The 25,557-nt window shown below is 49.2% G+C and overlaps 1 pseudogene, besides 4 other annotated features; it reads left to right on the top strand.

The window, feature by feature from the left end:
- Positions 6,809-7,103: an enhancer, noted in NCBI's record as "tiled region #12649; HepG2 Activating non-DNase unmatched - State 24:Quies, and K562 Activating DNase matched - State 6:EnhF". NCBI's record gives its function as "activates a minimal TATA promoter and a strong SV40 promoter by Sharpr-MPRA in HepG2 and K562 cells {active_cell/tissue: HepG2 | K562}" and the evidence as "EXISTENCE:reporter gene assay evidence [ECO:0000049][PMID:27701403]".
- Positions 8,852-8,971: an enhancer, noted in NCBI's record as "active region_29529". NCBI's record gives its function as "activates an Ori minimal core promoter by ATAC-STARR-seq in GM12878 lymphoblastoid cells {active_cell/tissue: GM12878}" and the evidence as "EXISTENCE:reporter gene assay evidence [ECO:0000049][PMID:35858748]".
- Positions 9,242-9,321: an enhancer, noted in NCBI's record as "active region_29530". NCBI's record gives its function as "activates an Ori minimal core promoter by ATAC-STARR-seq in GM12878 lymphoblastoid cells {active_cell/tissue: GM12878}" and the evidence as "EXISTENCE:reporter gene assay evidence [ECO:0000049][PMID:35858748]".
- Positions 11,423-11,923: an enhancer, noted in NCBI's record as "H3K4me1 hESC enhancer chrX:39717183-39717683 (GRCh37/hg19 assembly coordinates)". NCBI's record gives its function as "activates a minimal SCP1, AML or CMV promoter by ChIP-STARR-seq in primed H9 embryonic stem cells {active_cell/tissue: H9 hESC(primed)}" and the evidence as "EXISTENCE:reporter gene assay evidence [ECO:0000049][PMID:30033119]".
- RPS11P7 (ribosomal protein S11 pseudogene 7) lies at positions 18,924-19,435 on the top strand (annotated as a pseudogene).

Below are 25,557 nucleotides of genomic sequence, written 5' to 3' on the forward strand. Positions count from 1 at the left end.
TCACCCTTGATCGAGAACCCCTACCCTAAATTAGTTTTTCCTGTTCTTAAACGTCCTATTAATGGAATCATACATTATGTAATTTGTGTCCAGCTCCTTTTGCCCAACATAATGTCTGAGCTTCCTCCATGTTGTTTCGAGTATCTGAAGCTGATTCCTTTTCATTGCTGAGTACTATTCCATTGCCTAGATATACTGCAGTTTGTTTATTCATTGGTCTGTTGATAAACATTTGGGTTGTTTCCAATTTGGGGCTGTTATGCATAAAGTCACTGTGAACATTCATGTACAGATCTTTGTGTGGGTGTAGGTTTTTATTTCAATGCCCAAGAGTGGAATTGCTTGGTCACAGGTACATAGGTATTTAGGTTTATCAGAAACTCTTCTCCAGAGTGGCCATTTTCCACTCCTACTGGCAATGCATGAGAGTTCCTGTTCCCGAGCACCCTTGCCTCTGTCTTTTTAATTTTAGCCATTCTAATGGATTCTAGGGCAACCTAACAAAGCCCACAAAGCCATCCACAGGAGCCAGAGTAAAAGTGCAGCTGTAATAACAAAAGTGTGGCCAGGTGCGATAGTTTACACCTATAATCCCAGTACTTTGAGAGGCCAAGGTGAGAGGATCAATTGAGACCAGGAGTTTGTGACCAACCTGAGCAACGTAGTGAGACCCTGTCTCTACAAAAAATATAAAAAGTAGCCAGGTGTGGGGGCATGTAACTGTAATCTCGGGAGGCTGAGACAGGAGGATTGCCTGAGCCCAGGAGTTTGAGGTTACAGTGAGCTGTGATCATGCCACTGCACTCTAGCTTAGGCGACAGAGCAAGATCAAGGAAAGGAAAGGAATGGAAAGGAGAAAGGAAAGGAGAGGAGAGGAGAGGGGAGGGGAGGGGAGGGGAGGGAAGAAAGGAAAAAGTGTAAGCAGTGGAAGGGAACTTGGAGACCCCCAGCCTTTGGCCTTCATGAGCTCTGAAACCAGGGAGCCAAGTATGCCTTGGAGCCACTCACAGTGGGCAGTAGGGGAGGTAGGTTGCTTCCCAGCAATGTTCTTTCTGCTCCACAGCTTGTTGGAGGGAAGAGGCCTCAACATGACCATCCCACAGGGAAAAAGAAAACACAGACAGGGAGACAGAGTTTGCATCATGAATGAGAATGACAGGAAAAAATGTATTTTATAGGAGACCCTCAACCCCTTCCCACACACACAGACATGCATGCATATGCACACACAGACACACACACACACACACACTCCCCTCCATGAGAGACATGGGACAGCAATTCCTTTGCAAAAGGTGGGGTGATGATGAAGAAGGAGAGAGGGATAAGAAGGGTTACTCAGCTGTCACATGGGGAGTTCAAAATGGTTTGGCTAAGGACTTACCAAGTTTTGGAGGGCATGCCCTGCACATGTTGTAAATTAGACACTAGAAGATGGGAAATCTGTCAAGGAAATAAATCCCGACCCCTACCTCGGTGAAGCTCCTGGTCTAATTTTCGATGGAAAATAAATAGTGCAACTCCGAAGTTGGAGATAATATAATGCCACCAGGACCTGGACACAGAGAGCTGCCTGTGTCAGGACTGACAGAGTGTGACAGGTTAATCCAGAGGGGCTTACCAGAGGAAGTCAGGAATCTGAAGGAGAGAAGCGCCCGGAATTAACCACGAGACAGAGGAAGCGCCCCACCATCCTAATAAGGATAGTGTCTTAACATGTTCTTCTGTTTGGTGCCGTTTCAGAGGGCCTTGTTAGCTGCAGTGTTCCCCTAAATCTCGGGGAAATGTTATTTCCTCCTCCAAAACACTAACTTATTTTTAAAATAATAAGGAAACTCCCAGTGATAAAGCAATCTATCTCTGTTACTAAAGTAAGTGTAGGAAGGTCCCTGCCAATGTTATCCCGTAGAGGTCAGGGTTAGTGGTAACGAACAGGGTGTGCTCTGAGGATGACGTCACCTGTTCCATCAATCACTTGGGAAGAAAACGTCTGGAAGTGGAAAGTGGCCCTACTGGTGTTCAGAAAGTGGACCTTAGCCAACTGAGAGAGAACATGGATCTAGATCTCTTGTGCCAGGACATCTTGAAGCTGGAATATATATATATATATATATATATTTTTAGACAGAGTCTTGCTCTGTTGCCCAGGCTGGAGTGCAGTGGCGTGATCTTGGCTCACTGCAACTTCCTCCTCCCAGGTTCAAGCGATTCTCCTGCCTCAGCCTCCCCAGTAGCTGGGATTACAGGCATGAGCCACTACTCCCAACTAATTTTTGTGTCTTTTTTTTTTTTTTTTACTAGAGATGGGGTTTTACCATGTTGGCCAGGCTGGTCTCGAACTCCTGACCTCAAGTGATCTGCCCACCTCGGCCTCCCAAAGTGCTGGGATCACAGGTGTGAGCCTTTAGGGGCACTCACCAGTGGTAGGGCTCAAAGTTAGCATCTGCTTGAGGAGAAGAGATGTCAGTTAGCCAGGAACTCGTAGCAGGAGGGACGTCAAACTGAAGATGAGTCAACTCTAAGTTGTGAGCCAAATGCTCCAGGTTCGTGTTTCTCTGTTTATTTTCTCTTTGTCCGCCTCCAAACTATTTATTAAAATGTGAGCTCCACGAAGGGCAAGGGCTTCATCTGTCTTGTTCACAGCTGTATCAGCAGCTAGAAATGTGCCTGGCACATGGCTCACTAAATATTTGGTGAACGGATGAATAACAAGACCTAATTGAATGCTCAGACCTTGGTTCAGCTGAGCTACTCAATAAATCTGGGAAGGCGACTACTACAAAACACAGAAGGCCTGATCAGGGGGTGGCAAAGAAACTCGAAGCACCTATGAAGCCGCTGTGACAGTCTCAGGGAGACCAGAGCGAGGAGCCCAGGGAAAAGGTGACTTCTCTAAAGTTTCAAGTGCCAGCCGTGTTTTCAGCCTGATATCGTTTGGATGTTTGTCCTCTCCAAATCTCATGTTGAAATGTGATCCCCACTGTTGGAGGTGGGGCCTGGTGGGAGGTGATTGGATCATGGGAATAGCCCCTCGTGAATGGTGTAGCGCCATCCCTTCAGTGATAAGTGAGTTCTCGCTCAGTTAGTTCATGCAAGATGTGGTTGCTTAGGCCAGGCAGGGTGGCTCACGCCTGTAATCCCAGCACTTTAGGAGGCCGAGGCGGGTGGATCACGATGTCAGGAGTTCGAGACTAGCCTGACCAACATGGTGAAACCCTGCCTCTACTAAAAATACAAAAATTAGCCGGGCATGGTGGCACGCGCCTGTAATCGCAGCTACTCAGGAGCCTGAGGCAGGAGAATCGCTTGAACCTGGGAGGTGGAGGTTGCAGTGAGCCGAGATCACGCTGCTGCACTCCAGCCTGGGCAACAGAGCAGGACTCCATCTAAAAAAAAAAAAAAATCTGGTTGTTTAAAAGTGTGTGGCTGCCTCCCCTCCCTCTCTCTTGCTCTCACTCTCAACATGTGAAACATTGGCTCCCCTTCGTCTTCCACCATGATTGTAAGCTCCCTGAGGCCCTCATCGGAAGCAGATGCCAGCACCATGCTTCCTGTACAACCTGCAGAATCAAGAGCCAATGAAACCTCTTTTCTTTATAAATTCCCCAATCTCAGGTATTTCTTTATACTGACACAAAAACAGCCCAATTCACAGCCTGTCTGCATTGACTCCACTTCTATCACCAGCCGCTGGGAGAGGTGGGTCCTGTTTTACTGAACAGTGTCCCTAACATGGCCGCCCTTCCTTGTATAGGCCCCAGAACCTTCCAGGGTTAAACAAAAGCAGGTTTCCAGGATGGAAAAGCTCCAGGCAGACATGAGACGCTAAACACCCAAACTTTCCTCCTGGAATTCCCCTTCCTCTTGCAGTTTGTACCTTGATACCAAAGGTCACCCCTAGGAGAAAACACCCTTCATGACTAGTCCTTCAAAGGACAGAGTCCTTTTCTTTGTTTCACCTTAGCAGAGTCGAGACAGGCAGATAAAAATGTCTTGCTTTGTTAAAGAATGAAGGAGGAGCAGAAACATAAGGGGCATAAAATCATGTTCATGAGTGAGGCACGTCTGGACACACAGGGGCAACTTTGATTCCAGACCTGCCTCCCGGAGTCAGATAAGGGAGCTGAAGTGCCAGCCAGTGGCCTCAGCTTTCTTAAGTCCTCCTACTCCAGCTTTGGACAAGCCAATGCCATCTTCCTCCAAGAGGCAGGCACCATCTCTTTTCCAGGGCCTGCGGGGAGCAGTTCCCCTCTCCTTCTGCCTCAAGGATGGCACCTCCCAGCTTCCCTAATCTCTCCCCCTTAGTGTGGGGGTGCAGCTAGTCTGTGGATGATTTGCAGGACAGTGGTGGTTGACAGCCAGCAAATAATAGAGCTCCCTGGGTCTGTGTTATCTAATCCACCTACCCCTGGAGCTTCCCTTAGCAACTCACTCCGGAAGCACCCCTCCCCCCACACCATCTGGAAGTGGTTTCAGAAAAACCTACTCATTATTGTTAAAAAGCAACATGTAGGCTTTTGCAAGATACAGTTACAACAGCAGCCCCTAGATTGTAAGTTCCCGGAAGGTAGGGATCTTTCCCTTGTTTGCTACTGTGTAACCATCACCTGGCACATAGTAGGAACTTGATAAATGACTTTCAAATAAATGCAGAATTAATAAACTCACAATCAAGGTCTTCCAATTATTTCTGCATAACAAATTACTCCAAAATTTAGCAGCTTAACAACGGTTTTATTATGCTCGAAGTTTCCATAAGTCAGGAATTTGGACGGGCCAAAGCATTGTGGATCTCTCTGCTCCACAATGTCTGGGGTCTCAGTTGAGAAGACTTGAAAAGAGCTGGGGGCTGGAATCATCCAGAAGCTTCTTCATTCACACATCTGGTACTTAGGCTGAAATGACTTGGAGACTGGGCTCAGTTGGGACTATGGATCTCTGCACCTATGTGTTGTCCCTTCATATTAATTGGGCCTCCTCTCAGCATGGCCGGCTGAGGGTAGTCAGAGTTCTTACATGACAGCTATTCAGGGCTTCAGGGCAGAAGCTGTGTGGCCTTTTATGACCTAGCCCTTTCATTCTCTTAGTTGAAGCTGTCACCAGCGTATCCAGATTCAAGGAGAGAAGGACCCCGCTTCTCATTGGAAGGAGTGTCAGGAAACTTTGGGGTCATGTTTTTGAACCACCCCAAAGGGTGAAAGATTAGAAAGCTCTAATGATGTTACATTCATTCCTTCAACAGAATTTACGTTGAGCATCTACCACATGTTAAGCTCTGGGTTGAGTGATGTGCAGGGATTTAGTGGTGAACAAAATAGACATTGTCTCTGCCCTCATTAAACAAATAGATACACAAACAAATGCATAATTACATATCATGATGAGTGCTATTAAGCTGGGGGTGGGGAGTGCCCTGAGAAAGAACAGGGAGACTTAATTTAGATTGCAAATGTCTTGCATACAAGGTTTTGTGTGCAAGCAGTTTCTTTGGGAGGTGATTCCAGGAAGCATCAGTAGGGCAATGAGGACATGGAGAGAGAGCCAGGGGGGCAGTCAGAGGCCGTATTGATAAGTAGGCTCCCACCCATTTGTCCGCATTTGTTGGGGCAAATGGGGCTGGGTCCTGCAGGATACCCCTGGTTGACAGTGTGGAACACACCTCAGATCATCCCTCCTGAAGGATGAGGAGGCTGGAGCATTTACTTACGGAATCCTAACAGTCAGAGTTGAGGGTGTTAGGGAGGGCTGCCCACTCACGCAGCCAAAGAGAGCCTCAGGCAAAGGACACCAAGTGCTGGCAGAAGCAGCCAAGAGAATGGGGAAGGAGCCTGCCCAGGGGTCAGGGAAGCCCTCCATGAACAAGTGATCTTCTTAAAGAAGGAGTTCAAGGGTCAAGAAGTTAGGATTTCTAGATGGTTCATAGATTTTTCTGTGTTATATGTGGATTTTCACCAAATGCAACCCTAATGCCAGCACTTAGCACAGTGCCTTAGATAGTAATATGGTTTTGGTTTTCTTCCTGTGTAATGATTGTCCCCACTGACCACCCTGCCCCCACCTGCCCCTCTCCTTTGTGACTAATGGAAAACATTGGCAAAATTGCCCACAGGCAGGGAGGCAGGTAGGCAAGGTGGGGAGAGAGTTTTCCCTTTGTGTGAGTTAACTGCCCGGAGTTGCGGGCGTCACACCCCACCACTCTGACCTCAGCTGAGCTTAGTGAGGCAGAGAGGCTAGCCTAGCTTAAGCTGTCACTAAACAATTCTTGGGGGAGATCTTTCATGCCTAGTCAGTTCCTCAGGAGGGGAGTCTGTGTAGAGAAATCCAGTGAGCAGTACCCTTGTTGAGGGATGGTCACATTAGCCAGACACATGGCTCTCTGGTCCCGGCAACCTGAGAGAGATTCCCAGAGACCCCTCGCAGTTCCTCAGCACAAGCTTTGCAACAAGCTTTGCAACACCAGACTCCACGGAACAGCAGGTCTGCGGTGAACTGGAAGAGACGCTACGAAAACACTAATCAGCCACCGCAACTGGGGGGAAAAAAATCAGTGAGCAACTGGAAAAAAAGCATTTTTACAAAGACAGTATAATACTCTTTCATTTTCAAATAGCTAAATAGAATTTCTGTATAATTTTCAAACAGTGTTTGTCTTAATGACTCTTTGAAAGCCTCCTTTTTCCAATTTGACTGCTACTGAATACCAAGTAGATGCCATGCCCTGGGTGAAGCATTTTTTGTAAGGTAAAAATCATAATAATGACTGCCTGTGTAGTGACTTTCAGCGCTTGACACAGTGCGTAGCTAAAGCAGGAACATGGTCCCTAGCCACTTGTCGACATATCTCTTTTTTGTGCACTCTCCTGCCTTTGGATTCTCAGCTGCTCTCCCACCCATCCCCAGGGCTGGCCTAAGTCACCGTCACCCTGAGGACAGCAAAACAGTATGTGGGGGAGGGGCGGGAGAGGGAGAGGAGGGGGAAGAGAGAAAAAGGGAAGGGGAGAAAGGAGAGGAGACAGAAAAGGGCAGGGGAGAGGGGGGAAGAAAAAAGGGAGAGAATGGAGAAGGGGAACAAAATGGAAAGGGGGGAAGAGGAGGGTGGGGAAGGAGAGGAGAAGGGGAGAGGGATGGAAAAGCAGGCAGAGGAGAAGGGAAAAGAGGAAAGGAGAGAAGGGGGAAAGAGAGAAGAGGAAGGGAGGGGAGGGGAGAGAATTCTTCTGGGATGGAAAAGGCAGGAAGTGAAATTCCTAACCCAGTGATAAATAGAATCCCAGCTGCACCAAGAACAGAGCAGTGGTAAAATCATTCAAACTCTGAATTCCTGACAGTGGAAAATAAACTCATCTTTGCTGGTGAATGGAAATTTAGGGAAGGCAACCGGGTGTGCTCTGGATTCCACAGCCCCATCCCTGGTAGAGGGCACAGAAGCATTGGAGGGTTGAGAAAGGGCAACTGGCAGCCTTTGGGCCAAGTTGCTTTAAGTCCAGAGAGGCTGAGAAAAGCAGCTCAATGCTGCAGAAGAGAAGGTGGAAGTTGGAAGTAAGAAAATGAAAGAGCCAGGTGGCCCATGGTGGAGAGGTGCCCAGAGCTGGCGACAGAACCCAAGGAACCCTGGTTCCTGGGGTGACCTTGAGAAAAGACCCGGCCAGTCTTAGACAAGGTGATGAAAGGAAGGAAGAAGGCTACTGAGCTGAAGAGAACAAAAATATTTCCCCAACCCCATCCCGCTGGACAGTGAAGCATCTTCAGGGCCCCTAGCCTGGGTGCCGGACAAAAGACTTGGAGGTACTGGAATATTGGGTCTGTGCCCCAGCCCTATCCGTGCCCAGTGTTGGGCACCCCCAGAGGCTAAGCTTGGCCAAAAGCTCCTCAGGCTTCCTCATCCCACTTGTTCATGGGATGGTTCCACCCATATGAAGAGTAAGGCCTGGGTGGTGCCTCTCCTCCTGACTCCAGCCTCCTTCCCCGGCCCCAGTCCCATCCATACAGGGGTGCTGGCCTGGCCCCCTCTGGTGGGAGGACAGATAAGCAAAGGGGTGGTGGGGACACTCTAGATGCTTCACCCACATCCCCTCGGGCTCCTTCCCCCACCCCATATAGCTTCCCCTCTCCTAATTCCCACAGCCTGTGCCTGGGACTCTTTGCAGGCCCGCCCGGGGCACATCCCCCTCAGAGCCAGAAGTACCCAGGAGTTTCAATCCCCACACTCACGGTAGCTCCTAGCTGGTGCAAGGGAGCATGCAGGTACAGTGCTCTTGCCTGGAGTCAGGACAGGCTCTGAGTTGACACTTGCCCTCCAGAGCTCCTCCTTTGGGAGGTCATGAGGTCATGAGGATGGAGCCCTCATGAAGGGGGTCAGTGCCCTTATAAAAAGCGACCCCAGAGAGCTCTCTCTCCCTGTCTCTGCCATGTGAGGGCACAAGGAAAAGTTGGCAATCTACAGCCCAGAAGAGGGCCCTCCCCCAAACCCGACCGTGCTGGTACCCTGATCTCGGCCTCTCAGCCTCCAGAACCATGAGAAGTACGTGTCTGTGGTTTATCAGCCCCCCCGCGTGTGGTACCGTGTTACAGCAGCCTGGATGGACTAAGACCCTTCTGCAGAGGGACTTTGTCTGAAACTGGCTTCCTCCCCTTCTTGGTCCTGCCCTTCCATACCCTTCCGTGTTTCTTGGGAGCACTTCCTTAATAAATTGCTTCCACACGAATCCGCGTCTCAGAAGCTGCTTCTGAGAAAACCGAAGTGATGGGGCCCCTGGGCTGCACAGTAATAACAGTTGTTACAGACGGCACCTCCTCCAACCCTCAGAACCAGACGGCCACAATGGTATTGACTGCATTGCACAGAGGAGGAAACGGAAACCCAGAGAGCAGAAGGGACTTGCCCAGGATGGTGGAGTTGGTGAGCAGAGCAGCCTACATTAAACCCAGCTCCAAAGCCAGCCCTGGGTCTTTGATGCCCCACAGAAAATACATGGGAGGAGCCCTGCAGCTCCTGAAAGGAGCTAACATCTCCCAAGCCCCACTTCCAGGGGCAATCTGGGGCCAGCCAGGTACTTAGATGGACAGATGACCAAGGAGAGACCACTCAAGCCCTCAGTTTGAGAATGCATTCCTCTGCGTTCACAGGCTTACCTGGAGCCAGTTCCCCAAAGCCCCACTGGACTTTTTAAGCCCCCAGAGGCCTTCAGACAGGAACCCACTGAGTCTTCAAACCCCCAATCTCCATGGGGTTAAAACAATCCCCAAAAGGCAGGACTTACTAGGAGTCGTTCAGAAACTGGCAAAAGCACCCTCTGAATAAATGTTCAGGGTTCCATCCGGAGACGCCCACGGTGACTGATGAGTCATCAGATAGCCAGCTGTCGCCACAGAGTGCTATATATAGAAGCTGGAGGGGTGCCTGGTACCTAAAGAAAGGGGAGGAGCACACACCTAGTAGGTGGGGTCTCAGCTGGGAGGCAGGCCTAGAGCACCTGGAAACTGCACCCTCAGCTCCCTCTGCCCCCCCAGCAAAACAGAATCTGGGTCAGCAATTCCCCGGCACAGAATGCCGCGTGAACTGGAAGCAAGCAGCAACAGGGCCGGACGTGGGCCATGCCAGTGCATTCATGATGATTACTGCTAATGATGGTAATGGGAGAATAATGGCTCAGTGAACTTCCCGCACATCACCTCGTCGTCTTCCCATCAGACATACACACTGAGGACGCGCTTGTATTGCTGCCATTTAGACAGCCGAAACAGAACTTCCAGACCTCAGGCTTGGTAGGCTGGGCCTGTGCTGTCCAGGACAGGGGCCACTAGCCACATGTTTCTACTGAACACTTGAAATGTGGCCCGGCCAAATTGAGATCCTCTGTCAGCATAGAATGCACACCAGACTTTGAAGATTTAGTTTCAAGAAAAGAATGTCAAATACCTTGTCAATAATTTTTTCCTGGTTTCATATTGAAATGATAATATTTTAGATACATCGGGTTGATCAAAATATATGATTAAGTCAATTTCACCTGTTCCTTTTTACCTTTTTAATGTGGCTTCTCGAACATTAAAATTATTAATACATATGTGGCTCACATTTGTGGCTTGCATTATATTTCTATTGGACAGTGCCGGGTTGCAGGCTGGAGGCCAGAACCTTCAGGAAATCCTGGCTATGCCCTCTCCTGACAAATAAAGCCTGCTTCCTGGTTCAAGGCTGAGAGAGGCCAGGGCTGCTCTCCAGACAATGCCAGTGGCCAGCTGCAGCTCCATGTACCGATCACAGAAGGTCCAGGTGACGCACAAAAGCCCCTGAGGGTCTGTGAACCCCAAACTTGTCCCTTATATCTTCTGAAAATGCACAGCTTTCCGGGGGAAAGATGATGAATTCTCCCTGGCCCTGTCTTCTGCCTTCCCCACTTAACCCCCAAGAGAGCTCCATGCTGTGTGATTGCATAATGAGGCCATGGAATAAGGCCACTTCACAAATGAAGCAGCTCTTTCCCTCACATATGCAAACAGCAGAGAGAGGCAAAGGAAAGTAGGGAGATGAGAAACAGAATGAGAAATGCAGACGAGACAGGCAATTCACACCAAGAGAGAGAAACTGTATCCCAGAGACAGACACACAATGTCACACACACTCTGCTCACTGACACCTGGGGGGAGGGGGAGAAGGGTGTGTGTGTGCACGTGTGTGGCGTGTTCATGTGCATGCATGCATGTGTGTGGAGCTAGAGAGCACTAGAGGCCGGGCACGGTGGCTCATGCCTGTAATCCCAGCACTTTGGGAGGCCGAGGTGGGCGGATCACCTGAGGTCAGGAGTTTGAGACCAGCCTGCCCAGCATGGTGAAACCCTGTCTCTACTAAAAATATGAAAATTAGCCAGGTATAGTGGCGTGTGCCTGTAATCCCAGCTACTCGGGAGGCTAAGGCAGGAGAATCGCTTGAACCCGTGAGGCAGAGGTTGCGGTGAACCGAGGTCACGCCACTGCACTCCAGCCTGGGCGACACAGTGAGACTCTTTCTCAAAAAAAAAAAAAAAAAAAACAAAAAAACAAGAGAGCACTAGAGAAAGGTTCTAGAACGAGGCAAATCGAACAGAACAGGGAAGAGATGAGCACAGGAGGCGAAAAGAAATGGAGGTTCGGGGAGTTGACAGCCTCCATTTTGTAGCAAGGCCTGCCCTTTCTTTCTATGTCAGTTTAAATTATTTACATCAGGACAATGGAAAGAATATAGATAGCAAAATAAAAAATGCGTCGGGGCCAGGCAGGCCCAGGATTCATGTGTGGTGGAAACAGAGTCCAGGGAGGAGGAAGGGCTGCCCGCCCTGCACCCAGGAGTGGGCTGGGCTTTGGGTGGCTGCAGTCAGGGCTGCTTTTCCAGTCACTCAGTACCTACATCAAGTCCAGAGTGTTGACAGAGCTGGAGCCAAACTGCACACCCCCAGGGGCAGACCTGGGACATTTAGGGAGCTGTGTGAGTCAGACAAGGCCTGGGGACACCCACAGACCACAACCCCTCTGGGGCCAGGCTGAGGGCTGCCTGGTGTTCGCCTGCTCCCAGAGAGGCTGACACTTTGTGCCAGCCTCCTGCCTATCCTGAGCTGACCCTTCACTGGCAAGTCCAGGGTCCCGTGGGTGACCATCAGTTAATCAAATCAAAGCAGCCTTCTGTGCTGCCAGGACAGGATGGGGAGAGGTTCTCCCTCCCCTTCCTAGGTAATTAGGAAGTGACTTCTGGAGGCCTGGGCCCACCTTGGTCACCTCACCTAAAGGAAGATTCTGTCACAGGGATGCAGGACGAATGTATCAGTCTCCTCAGGCTGCTGCAACAGAAGACCACAAGCTGAGTGGCTTAAACAACGGATATTTATGTTCTCACAGTTCTGATGGCTGGAAGTCCAAGATCAAGGTTTGGTTTCCCCTGAGGCCTCTCTCCTTGGCTTGCACACGGCCACCTTATTGCTGTGTCTTCACACGGTCTTTCCTCTATGCGTATACCCTGCCAGTGTCTCTCGTGGGTCCACATTTTCTTCTAGGGACACCAGTTGTATTGGATTAAGCCCACCCTAATGGCCTCATTTTAACTTAATCACCTCTTTAAAGGCCCTAACTCTAAATATAGCCACATTCTGAGGTCCTGGGAGTTAGGGCTTCCATAGATGAATGGGGTGTGGGGCACAGTTCAACCCATAGCAATGAAGTACCAAGAAAGACAAGGCCAGGTTCACACCAGGATGGGGAGAACAGTTCAGGGCCATGACCCTCTCAACGTCTGATAATCCCACTGTCTCCCTGCCTGTGCTTAGGGCCTCCTCCCAGTAAAGCTTATAGAAACCAGAGGCAACATTTCTGCAGGACAGGGGTTTGGGAGAATGTTGTTCCCATGGCTGGTAGTTGCTGTCTTGCCCAGGAGCAGGAGTTGTGTAGCCCCAAGTCCCAGTTCAATGCCTGGCCCAGCAGGGAAACTCTGATGGGGGCAGAACAGAGGCCATTAGGCAAGGCTCTGTGTCCTTACTCATTTAGAGTCTTATTGTCAATGGAAGTGACTCCAGAATAAATTTGGACTTCATTCACAGAGAGTTGAGGCCCTCGCAGATTTAAAAATAATAAAAGAAAAAGGCCGGGTGCAGTGGTTCATGCCTGTAATTCTAGCACTTTGGGAGGCAGAGGCGGGCGGATCACTTGAGGTCAGGAGTTTGAGACGACCAGCCTGGCCAACATGGTGAAACCCCGTCTCTACTAAAAATACAAAAATTAGCTGGGCATGGTGGCAGGTGCCTGTAGTCCCAGCTACTCGAGAGGCTGAGGCAGGAGAATCGCTTGAACCCAGGAGGTGGGAGCTGCAATGAGCCAAGATCACGCCACTGCACTCTAGCCTGGGCGACAGAGGGAGACTCTGTCTCAAAAAAAAAAAAAGAAAATAAAATAAAAAAGAAGGAAGGAAGGAAGGAAAGAGAGAGAGAGAAAAAGAAAGAAAGAAAGAAAGAAAGAAAGAAAGAAAGAAAGAAAGAAAGAAAGAAAGAAAGAAAGAAAGAAGCCAGGTGCAGTTGCTTACACCTGTAATCCCAGCACTTAAGGAGGCCAAGGCAGGTGGATCACTTGAGGCCAGGAGTTCAAGACCAGCCTGGCCAGCACGGCGAAACTCCATCTCTACTAAAAATACAAAAATTGGCTGGGTGTGGTGGTGGGTGCCTGTAATCCCAGCTACTAGAGAGGCTGAGGCAGGTGAATCGCTTGAACCCAGGAGGTGGAGGTTGCAGTGAGCCGGGATCACACCATTGCACTCCAACCTGGGTGACAGAGCGAGACTCTTTCTCAAAAAAAAATTAAAAAATAAAAATAAAAGTTTAAAAAATATATGACTTCAGCCCCAGGTATAGTCTGGAGGCAACTGCATGAGACAGAGAAAGAGAGAGAGAGAGAGAGACAAAGATACAGACAGACAAAAACAGAGACAGAGAGAAAAAAAAACTAGCTAAGAGCAGTCAACCCCCAGAAGAGTGAGAGATAATAATAACATGGTAGTCGTGTTTTTTGTCACTACGTTTTGGAGTGATTCATTATGCAGCAATAGATAACTGGAACACAGGCCAAAACACAATTGCGTGGGCACACGCACACACACAAGGTACACAAAAATCCTCCTTCACAGGACCTGTTTTGAGGCTCCTGGCAGCCAGCCTAGGTGCTGGTGCTCACGCCACAGACTCTGGGGCCAGCCTGCCAGGATTCACACCCCTTTCCCACCACTTCTTAGCTGTCCAGCCTTGGATGGGGAAACCAACACCTCTGCCTCAGTTTCCTCATCTCTGAACTGGAAACCATACTGGAGCCCTCCATCTGGGATGGCTGGGAGGATTAAATATGCTAACCCACATCAAATGCATGGGGCCATGCCAGGCATGCAGTCGGCACTTGATAACTGTTTGCTGGAATGATATGACTCAACATCTGCCTTTCTGCTTCCTAACAGGTGGGCTGAGAAACACGCCATTTCCGGCAGACACGCCGCTGACCATCTTTTTCCATCACACTGAGGTCACCAGCACAGCCTCACACTTATTTGTTTTGTAAAAATGTCAGCAGCTGGGCCAGGTCCCCTCCCCCAGCCCCTGTGGAAAGTCAGCTCCCTCTCCCTCTGCAGGCGCTTCAGATCTGTCCCTGCCACTGTCATCTCCCGCCTTTGCCTTGCAAACCACAGATTAGCAGAAGACAAAACGCTGGCTAAGGGCTGACCTCAATACCTGCTTTTAAAGTCCCTTGGCCTGGCCCAGCCACAGAGCTGTGGGACACAGGATGAGCAGGAAGCAGACAATAACAGTTGGCTGGGCTTGCAACATCCTCTTGCCTCTCCTTTTGTGGGATGGCTAAATGGTGCAGCTTTTGGGATGCCCTGGTGCCTCCTACGCATGGAGGACCCACTTTCCAGAGGCAACTCCCACAGCCAGGAGGGGACAGGATCATGACAAGGTGCTTGCGGCTTTGCCAAGTCCTCCTCACTGCCCTGGGCTCCCCCAGGGTACCAGCGGAGCCAGAGGCCAGGTTCTTCCCATGAGGAAGCAGGGGGTGGAAGAGAATAAAGTCAGCAGAAGACCCCTTTTCTGTCTAGTCAAGGCCCGCCTGGCCTCCAGAAAGGTCTCCTCTGCCTTTTCCTCTGGGGCAACCCCTTGATTGTGCCCCATACTAAATCCCCTGTCATGGGCATTCACGCTCCTCTGACTTTCCAGCTGTGTCACTTTTGGGGGGGCTATTGCCACCCGTGGGCCCTGTTTCTCACTCTCCATTTGTGGTAACTGGCTGCCTTACCCAGCAACACAACCCTCCCCTCCCCTTTGACCCTCACATCTCCCTCCAGGTGGCCTCTGCCAGACCTAAAGCAGGTGCCCGGGCATCTCCTCTCCAGCCTTGTTGGGCTGCAGGATGCACAGGATTTCGATAAGTTCTCCAGCTCTCTTACGCTAAGTAATCCCTGCCCCAATCCCTTGGGTCACCTTGAAAAACCATTCTTAGTCTCTAATGAACCAATTGGTTCTTTAGAAAAGACACCTGGAACTTTCTTTGCAGCGATGAGCCATGTTTGTCAATGGGAGCACTATTCATATTTGGGCCTGGACAAATCCCCATTGTGTGGGACAGTCCCTCCCCCATTGTTGGATGTTAATTGTCCTTGGCCCCCTGCCTGCTAAACTCCAGTAGCACCCTCTAGTCATTGTGACAGCCAAAAATGCACCCCTATTTCCAAATGCCCCCACCCCCAGGTGGAACAGTCCCTGAATAGGGAAGCACCATTCATCTCAGGATAAAATTCTTTCTCCGCCACAACAATCACCAAGCAGCATCTCCCTGCAGGATCAGTTATGCGCGCTTGATCAGCCCAATCTCCCTCATGTTATGCAACCCAGAGTCAACGCCGCTGCACAAGTCTATTCTGTTTCTGCATTCACAGGCTCATACTGTGAGCAGGGACTCCAAAGTACGCTGAGGAACTCGGTCCCTAAATCTATCCTCTTTATTATAGATTGTGTGTGGGTTGCCCCTGACAGATAATTCTCAGCAAAGCGTTTACTGAGAAATCATTTGTTTAATTTCACACGCCCCCTTCCATCACTGGCATTACTTTAAAAAATAAAAATAAAAGTAAAAGAGCAGCCATTGTTGGAAGAGTTCCATTGGAGCTGTTTGTTTGTCAAGGTCCATTGAGTCAAAATTCCCAGTTTAACTTTGAATGCTCAACGCTTCTGCCCCTAATGTGAGGTTGGTGTTTGTACCTTAAAAAGGGAGGGGAAATTGAGTCTTTGAAAGAAAGAAAAAAGGGAATAAAATAATCCTCCCTCTGTAGTGTCTATACTTTTTAACATAACATGGGAGTGCAACTACCTTTTTACCAAAACACGTCTCCAGCTTGGCGTGAAGTCCCCACATCTGGATCCGCCAGGAGGGAGGAACATCCATTCTGACAGGGACATAGCCTTGCACACACCTGCTGACACTTCTGCATCGCTGTGAGTCTAGCTGTAGTAGCTACATTGGGTCGTTTTCCTTTTTAAAACAATAGTTCTTAACACCAAGAGCTTCTTGCTGGTGTCATAAAATCCCCGTCTCACATTGAAGACCTAATCCTGAAGGTTTTTAAATCTCCCAGAGTCCACTTGTGATGATCTGATGGACCCTAAGGCCTCTCTTCACAGAACAAGACAGACACATGTGTGGACACATAGGGTATGTCCACATGCGTGCACTCACTTCCACAGAACTTTACACATAATCACAAAGCCTCCTAAAGCCTGCCCTCAGGCAGTCAATTAAGAACCCACCGCTGGTTCCACACATGAGGAAATTGAATGTAAAAGCAGCTTTGGTGGTACATACAAATATGATTCAGTTTCATGTGGGAAGGCGACCAACTCTCAAACTGTTCTTCCTGAAACAAGCCACTAGCCTCGTGTAAAGACAATAGCCCCTGTAGATGGAGATGGTGAGAAAAAGCTTCCAGAGACCACTGTCACTCCTGAACACTCCAAATTTATGTGGACTGCTAAGGAGAGAGACCAGAAAGCAAAGCAACCTGGAAAAACTCAAAACCCGTTACCCCAAAGTAAAACAATTCCTGTCGATGGCAGTTCCTGTAGATAACAGCACCACATTGCCTTGCACTTGCACAATGCTTTACCCGGCTCAAACAGCTTTCACCAGCATTATTCAGCAGTCTCACAACTGCTCTGTGAAGTCAGGACCACTATAATTGCCCCCATGTATGGGTTGCAACAAAGGAAGAGGGCTCAAAGAGTGGAAGTGATGCCTGAAAGGACACGTTGGTTGGTAACGGTAGTACTGACTTAGTCTGTTCTGGTTTCTATAACAAAATCCCTTAGACTGGGTAATTTACAAACAACAGAAATTTAGTGGTCACAGTTCTAGAGGCTGGGAAGTCCAAGATCAAGGCATCAGCAGATTCCATGTCTGGTGAGGGTTCTCTGCTTCAGAGATAGTGCCTTTACCCTGAGTCCTCACGTGGCAGAAGGGACAAACAGGCTCCCTCAAGCCTCTTTTATAAAAGCACTCATCCCATTTATGGGAGTGGAACCTTTGTGACCTAATCACCTCCCAAATACCCCACCTCTTAATACCATCACACTGGGGATTCAGTTTCAACATATGAATTTTGGAGGGGCACCAATGTTCAGACTATAGCAGTAGGCAAGCCTCAACACTCAAGTGCTTGTCAAATCATGCTGCATCGCGCTTTTGTGATGTTCTTCTTTTACATGCCATTGCTGATGTTCCATTGGCCAAAGAAAGTCATGAGGCTAAACTCAACATGAGAAGGGACTACCCATGGATGTGGATATCAGGACGTATAACTCATTTGGGGGCCATATTTGTAACCACCTACCACACACACGAGTTAAAGCATCTCCCCTCCCACATAATGACCGAAATATCATCATTTATCTTTCAGACCATTGCCCTCTTTTTGCTTGCGCTTTGAGAAATCAGGCATGGCTTTATTGAATATCCTATGACCCAGCAATTGTATTTCAAGATATACAGCCGAGAGAAACAAGTGCTTGTGCGCACCAAAAGCCCTGCATGCAAATGCACGTAGCAGCTTTATTCACAACAGCCTGAAACTGGAAACAACCTAAATGCCTGTCAACGGGAGAGCAGATAAACTAATCATGGTATACTCATACAATAACACACTATACAGCATTGAAAAAGAACAAATTACTGCTACATATAACAACATGGATGAATATCCCAGATGATATTGAGCAAAAGAAACCAAATTCACGAGAATATGTGTTGTATGATTCTATTTATTTGAGGTTCAAAAACAGATAAATCAGCTGGGCGTGATGGTTCACACCTATAATCCCAGCACTTTGGGAGGCCAAGATGGAAGGATCACTTGAGCCCAGGAGTTTGAGACCAGCTTGGGCAACATAGTGAGACTGTGTCTCTATTAAAAAAAAAAAAAAAAAAAAATTAGCCAGGCATGGTGGCACGAGTCTGTAGTCCCAGCTACTCAGGAGAGTCAGGCAGGAGGATGGCTTGAGCCCAGAAAGTCGAGGCTGCAGTGAGCTGCGATTGCACCACCACACCACTGCACTCCAGCCCAGGTGACCCTGTCTCCAAAAAAACAGACAAATCAAGTCTATGTTGTTACAAGTCAAAATAATGGTTACCTTTGGGGGGATAGAAAGTGGGAGGGGACACAAGGGAGCTTCTGGGACAGGTGCTAGAAATAGTCTCTATGTCAACCTGGGTGACTGTGGGTCTGCACATATGTAAAGAGTCATAGACTTGTACACTTAAGATTGGTGGACTTTACTGTGCTTATAGCTTAACTGTTTTTCAAGTACAACATTAAAAGTAAGAATGGAATTCAGGTGCAGGCTTGGGGCTGGAGCCCAGGCTGCGGGGTCCACCTCGGGCCTCAGGGGCACGTCTGGGAGGGCAGGGCCCAGCGCCCAATTTCGGGAGTTAATTCCAGGCGTTGGTGATTTCCTAGGGATTAACTGGGGCGGAGGGTGCATGCTTTTGGGTGTATCTAGATGAGTGCTTCCTAAATCCTGGGGGCTCCGCACTTTAGTGGAGGCTCCAGCATTTTAGGAGTTACCATCTTAAAATCCACATTTAAGAAGGTATTTTTGGAGTTCTCCAGTCTTAAGGGTTAATCCTGTGGAAACTGACTCCTAAGGGCAAATCCAAGGAGCCTGCGGTTTTGGTATTTAATTCTGAATCCTTATGAGTTACATAAGGAGTGAATCCTGGGTGGGTGACCTTGGGTCTTGGAGAATGATCCTCGCTGAAAGGTGTCTGGGGTGTGAGAGGGGTGATTCTGGTTTAGAGGATGAATTCTGCAGGCCCTGGGAGGCCTTCTAGAGCATATAAATTGAAATAACCCCCGGCTTAGATCTGAGTATGAATTACAGACGGAGTGAGCCTACCAAAAGCAGCCGACCATCTTTCAAAACAAGAAGAAGCTCCTGCTGGGAGAAACTGGCAAGAAGCTCCTGCAGTACTACAGAACATCAATCTGGGCTTCAAGACACCTGAAGAGGCGATTGAGGGCACCTACATTGACAAGAAATGCCCCTTCACTGGTAATGCCTCCATTCGAGGGCGGATCCTCTTTGGCATGGTGACCAAGATGAAGATGCAGAGGACTGTCATCTGCCGAGACTATCTCCACTACACCTGCAAGTACAACCACCTTGAGAAGCACCACAAGAACATGTCCGTAAACCTGTCCCCCTGCTTCAGGGACATCCAGATCAGCGACATCATCACAGTGGGCGAGTGCTGGCCCCTGAGCAAGATGGTACGCTTCAACGTGCTCAAGGTCACCAAGACCACCGGGCACCAAGAAGCAGTTCCAGAAGTTCTGAGGCTGGATGTCTGCCCGCTCCCCACAATGAAATAAAGTTATTTTCTCAGCCCCTCCCCCACCTAAAAAAAAACAGTAAGAATGGGTTTCCTAGTGTGGCTTCTCTAGACAGGGTGGCAGCCTTGGGAGGGTGTCAAGGTGGAGAGTGGGAGGCCCTCAGCCTGGCATCATCTGGCCTGCCCTGTGCCTTCTCCCAAGCCAGCAAGGAAAAGACCTTGCTCCTTGCTTGGGCCCTGAAGAGCTCCACGTGGCACGGTAGTCAGTGCGGGTTACTTTAGACTGGGGCACAGTGGTGATGGCCACACAGGTTCCCCTGTGGGAAATGCTTTGAAGAGCCTTTGTTCCCAAGAGTTGATCAAGGAAACAAGCTGGTAATGAACAGCAGAAATAACAATACTTAATAATGGGCAGAATCAAAATGGATTTCAATCCTGGCAGCTAATTTACCAGGAAACTTATTCCTGAGGCAGGCAGCTCTCTCCCCTCATCAGACTGTAGGATAAACAAGGAAGTGGCAGGACCAGGAGAGGCAGGAGGTGGGAGGAGAGGAGGTGGAGGGAGAGAGGAAGGGGGAAGAAAGAAGGGAGGGAGGAGCAGCGGGGTCTGAATGAGGTCTTTGGAAATGTGCAGAGACGCTGGGGAGTGAGAGTGGGCAGGGGTTAGGAAGGGTAGGAGCCCCCAAATCTCAAAGATGCCTCTCAGAGGCCCTGCAGCTTCCCCGGCCCCCGTGATGGCTGTGAAGCCCAGGGCTCCTCCTCCAGATCTCCAGCTCAGCCCCTCCAACTCTTCAACCCTTGGTACATATCCTCCACTGTTACTGCCTGCCCCCAAGAGCTAAGGAAGGGGGCCTCAAGACCACACAACAATGGAAGGAAACCCCTTGTCAGGGAAGGAAGATTCTAACTGGAGCCCTCAATGCTCCAGAAAGATTATCTTTCCGGTTCCCATTGTAAAGAGAGCAACTCACAATCACCCCACTACCCATAAGCTCTCACTGCCCTTTTCCTCCCCCACCCCCACCCCCCAAACAGGCTGATTTGTTTACCTTTTATCACTCTGTTAAAAAATTAGTTCTTACAGGTCCTTCTCCCAGGATGAGGGCAAAAGACAGCCTGGGCCTCCTCTGTTATTTTAAGGCAAGATATGTCGGCTTGAAGTCTGCTCTGAGATCTTGTGGGGAGGGCGGCAGGGCTTGTTATATGAGGGTCAAGTCAATAATAAGACCTGCTGGCCAGGCGCGGTGGCTCTCGCCTGTAATCCCAGCACTTTAGGAGACCAAGGCAGGTGGATCACCTGAGGTCAGGAGTTCGAGACCAGCCTGGCCAACGTGGTGAAACCGTCTCTACTAAAAATACAAAAACTAGCCGGATGTGGTTGCACGTGTCTGTAGTCCCAGCTACTCGGGAGGCTGAGGCAGGAGAATTGCTTGAACCCGGGAGGTGGAGGTTGCAGTGAGCCGTGATCATGCCCACTGCACTCCAGCCTGGGCGACAGAGCAAAACTCCATCTCAAAAAAAAAAAAAACCTGCTCACATCCAGGGTCTTCGGATCACCTTGTCCGTGGCCAATGAGAAAAATGCTTCCCTTCCCTCCAGGCCTTTTCCTGCCTGTCCCCAGTCCCTTCAACTGTCCCTGGCTTCCCAGGGCTCCTCCCCTCCCCCTCCAAACTTGCTACTTGCCAACACCATCTACCTTCCGCACCCCCATATCCCACTTTTTTATTCAACGTCCCCATCAGGTGTAGGAGAAGCTAAAGCCCACGTGTACATCTCTGTCTCTGACCATGAATCCATCGAGGTGATATGCCTGAACCCCAAGGCCGGTGGACGGGCACTGGGGGAACTCTTCAATTTCCACTACTTGAGTGCTTGCTTGCCTACATTGACAAATGGATCTCTCACTTTTCAACTTGAGCAGAGTGGATTCTTCTTGCTAAAGGCTGAAGTACTTGCTGAGTTGCAAGTTTTAGAAAATGAGGCCATTGTGGGGCTATTTCTGAGGGAAAGGAAGACCTGCAGTGCCAGCGCCAGCCCCGTCCACCTCCCACAAGAATCGGGCACCATTCTTTTTACATTGGGGAAAATTCCATCTCCTATTTCAAGAAAAATAACTGAATCTGGCTTCATCTTCTGCCAAAGTATACACTGTGAGGAGATGGCAAGGGTTTAATTCTTAGAGACAGTGAGAAGCAAGTGACCAAAAGGAACTTCAGGATGAAGATGACTTTTCAGTATCTAAGAGGGCTTTGCTGGTGAAGCCCCTGCAGTTAAGGTGTCAGCTATGGGATAACCGGGGGTGGGGGTAGGAGAGACCCCCTCACCATGGCATCCTGCTGGGAGCATAGCCGGTCTGTGTGAGGAGCAGAGTCAGCCTCCCAGGAAAGGGCAAAGAAAGGTGGGGTTCATGGTCACTTTTGAAAACCAGCTTCCCAGGGCTTTGCCTGTAACAAAGTATCATGCACTGGGGGGCTTAAACAATGGAATTTTATCTTCTCACAGTTCTGGAGGCTGGAAGTCTGAGATCAAGGTGCCAGCAGGGTTGGTTCCTTCTGAGGCCTCTCTCTTTGGCTTGTAGATGGCTGTCTTCTGGCTGTATATCTTCACAGTCTTCCCTCTGTATGTGTCTGTGTCCTAATTTCCTCTTCTTATAAAGACACCAGCCATATTGGATTAGGGCTTACCCATATGACCTCATTTTAACTTAATTACCGCTTTAAAGACCCCATTTCCAAATACTGTCACATTCTGGGGCACTGAGGGGTTAGGACTTCAACATATGTTCTGAATTGCATACCCTGAAAATTCCTTTGTTGAAGTTTTTGCTTCCACAATTACAACCTATTCAAACTGCAATCGATATAGTGCTGGGACTGGGAGAAGCTGCAGGGTTGCAGATCACACATAAAAAGGTCCTCGTCTACCCCAACCCCAGGCTTCTTTCTGCCTAAATTCTCCTCAGCATCCAAGTCTTGCCTCTGCAAGAAGCCCTCCCTGTCCCCTGAACTCACATGGAGTTTTCCCTTTGTCAAATTTCACAAGGAAGGATCGTTCAAGTCATGCTTTCTGCATCCTGAGTGTAAATCATAAATTCGCTTTTTTTTTTTTTTTTCGAGACAGTGTCTTTCTCTGTTGACCAGGCTGGAGTATAATGACACATTCACACCTCATGGCAGCCTTGACCTCCTGGGCTCAAGTGATCCTCCTGCCTCAGCCTCCTTTCTGAGTAAGATCTTTAAGAATAAGCCACCCCCATCCTAACACACACACACGCACACACACACACACACACACACACAAGTGGCCAGTATCTATTTCCTCCCTCTCCCAGCCAGGCAGTTTAGGGAGTTGGAGTTGGCTGCACATCCAGCTCTAGGGATCAACCAGATTGGCTTAATTCAAAAGGGAAGATACACATGACCAAATTGGTCCAATCAGAGTGAATATCAGGATTCTTGATGGGAATGCTGGAACACAGGGTCTCTCTTCTGGGCTGGGTTTGGTTGTACAGCATGTGAGTTCTAGAGTAGAGCAGCTACAATTGGGTGGGCAGGTGGCAGGAATGGGGGCTGGAAGTTCCAGGAATCTGGATGGGGTTGGGGGGTGGGGGCAGGGAACCACTACTGTGTGTAACCATGAAACCCATCCAGAGGAAACAGAGCAGATAATGGGTGCTGGTGGCATCATTTAAGCCCTAGATGAAGCCATACCTGAAGTAGGTTACCTCTGGACCATTCAGTAACATAAACCAATCAATTTCCCCTTTTGCTAATATTGAATTGGGTTGGGTTCACAATGGAAAAATCACTAAATGATATAATTTCTTTGGGATCCTCCAAAGAGCCTAACCCCAGGATAGTGTGGACACTCAATAAATACAAGTATGCACCACATAATGACGTACCAGTCAACAACATATTGTATATACGACAGTGGTCCCGTAATATTATAATACTGTATTTTTACTGTAACTTTTCTATGTGTAGAGATGTTTAGATACACAAATACCACTGTATAACAATTACCTGCAGTATTCAGTACAGTACATGCTGTACAGGTTTGTAGCCTAGGAACAACAGGCTATACCATGTAGCCTAAGTGTGTAGTAAGCTATACCACATAGGCTCGTAGAAATATATGCTATGATGTTCATACAATGACGAAATCCCCTAACCAAACATTTTTCAGAACATATCCCCTTCATTAAGTGACACATGACTGTACTAGAGCATTACAAAGCCTCAATCTATGAAGGCTTTGTAGATAAGAAAACTGTGACCAGGGGTAAAGGGATTTACCAAGTCTCAGGAGCCAGTTAGTGGCAGAGCCTGGATGACAGCCTAGATCTCCAATCTAGTGCCATTCCCACTGCACTGGAAGGGATGAGGGCCACTGTTCCTCCTCCCTTGATCCGCCAACCTAGTCCCTGCAGGAGAGGGAGGAGCTGAGAAAGCCAGTGTGAAGCCACAGCACCCTCAACCCCCCAGATAGGAAGACTTGGTTGCAAGCCAGGAGGCCAGAGGAGAGGCGAGGCAGGAAATTGAGTGGCTCCACGTCAACCACACGTTCTGAGTCACCTGGGGGCTGTCAGTAAGAAGATAGTGCAAAGATGGTGAGCAGCTGCCAACCCAGGCAGCAGGCATGTCGGTGTCCTCAGGACCCCAGAGGGCCCCATTGCAGGCTCTAGGGAGACCTCTACCCTCAAGAAGGCTATCTCCGAAGGGGCGCGGTGGCTCATGCCTGTAATCCCAGCACTTTGGGAGGCCAAGGTGGGCGGATCACGAGGTCAGGAGATCGAGACTATCCTGGCTAACATGGTGATACCCCGTCCCTACTAAAAATACAAAAAATTAGCCGGGCATGGTGGCGGGCGCCTGTAGTCCCAGCTAGTCGGGAGGCTGAGGCAGGAGAATGGTGTGAACCTGGGAGGCGGAGCTTGCAGTGAGCTGAGATCGTGCCACTGCACTCCAGCCTGGGCAACAGAGCGAGAATGAAACTCCGTCTCAAAAAAAAAAAAAAAAAAAAAAAAGAAGGCTGTCTCCAAGTGGGGTGGTGGGCTTAGCAGGCTCCAGAAGGGGCAGAAATGTGTGTCGGGGCAGAGTCACGTGTCTGGCAGCTGGGCTGTGAAGACTGGCAGGGGTGGGGAGTGGATTGTGCAGAATAGAATATCTGGGATACCTTGGGCATCTCTCTCCAACATGGCAGCTTCAGGGTAGCCAAATTCTTAAATGGCAGCTCAGTGCTTCAAAGACATGTGGGAGGGAGGGAGAGAGGGAGAGAGGGAGAGAGGGCGAGGGGGAGAAGGAGTGAGAGAGAGAGAGAGGTGAAAGCCATATCACCTTTTCCAACCTGGCCTCACAGCATCACCTCTGGTTCATTCAATTCATTGGAAATGTCTGGTCCATATTCAGAGGAGAATTAGGCTCCACCTGGTTGGGAGGACTGTCAAAGAAAGTCTAGATATGGTATTTTATTTGTTGTTGTTTGAGACAGGATCCTGCTCTGTCATCCAGGCCGGAATGCAGTGGTGTGACCATGGTTCACTGTATCCTCGACCTCCTGGGCTCAAAAGATCCTCCTACCTCAGCCTCCCTAGTAGCTTGGACCACAGGCATGTGCCATCGCACCTGGCTTATTTTTTTTTAGAGATGGAGTCTCTCGCTAATGTTGCCCAGGCTGGTCTTGAACCCCTGGGCTCAAAGGATCCTCCCACCTTGGCCTCCCAAACTGCTGGGATTACAGGTATGAGCCACTGCACGTAGCTGAGACATGGTTTTCAACCATGTTAGAAGCCATACCTGGCAGACAACAAGGAGCCGGTGTCCCTAACCCTGTACAATGCCAGCGCTTCCTGGCACTGCCTAAATCTGGACCTTCTGAACACGAGGGATAAAGTGAATGCTATCTTGGACATACCAATGTCATGTGGGGTTTTTTGGTTACTCTCAGCCAAAGCTAATCCTAGCTGATACTGAGCACATGAACTGCCACGTCCTATTCCCGGCACGGAGCAAGCTCTCAAGCCAAAACTTGCTAAGTGAGAGTGGGTGGGCTGATGGAAGGAGGGAGGGAAGGAAAATGCAGCAGTGAACACACTGGACTACAGATCTCAAATACGCTGTTCCATTGGCCAGTAGATTCACTTGTATTTGTTACGCTGTATCCCAATATCTATTTGTT

The sequence above is a fragment of the Homo sapiens genome, chromosome X (genome assembly GCF_000001405.40).
Source record: "Homo sapiens chromosome X, GRCh38.p14 Primary Assembly".
Lineage (NCBI taxonomy): Eukaryota > Metazoa > Chordata > Mammalia > Primates > Hominidae > Homo > Homo sapiens.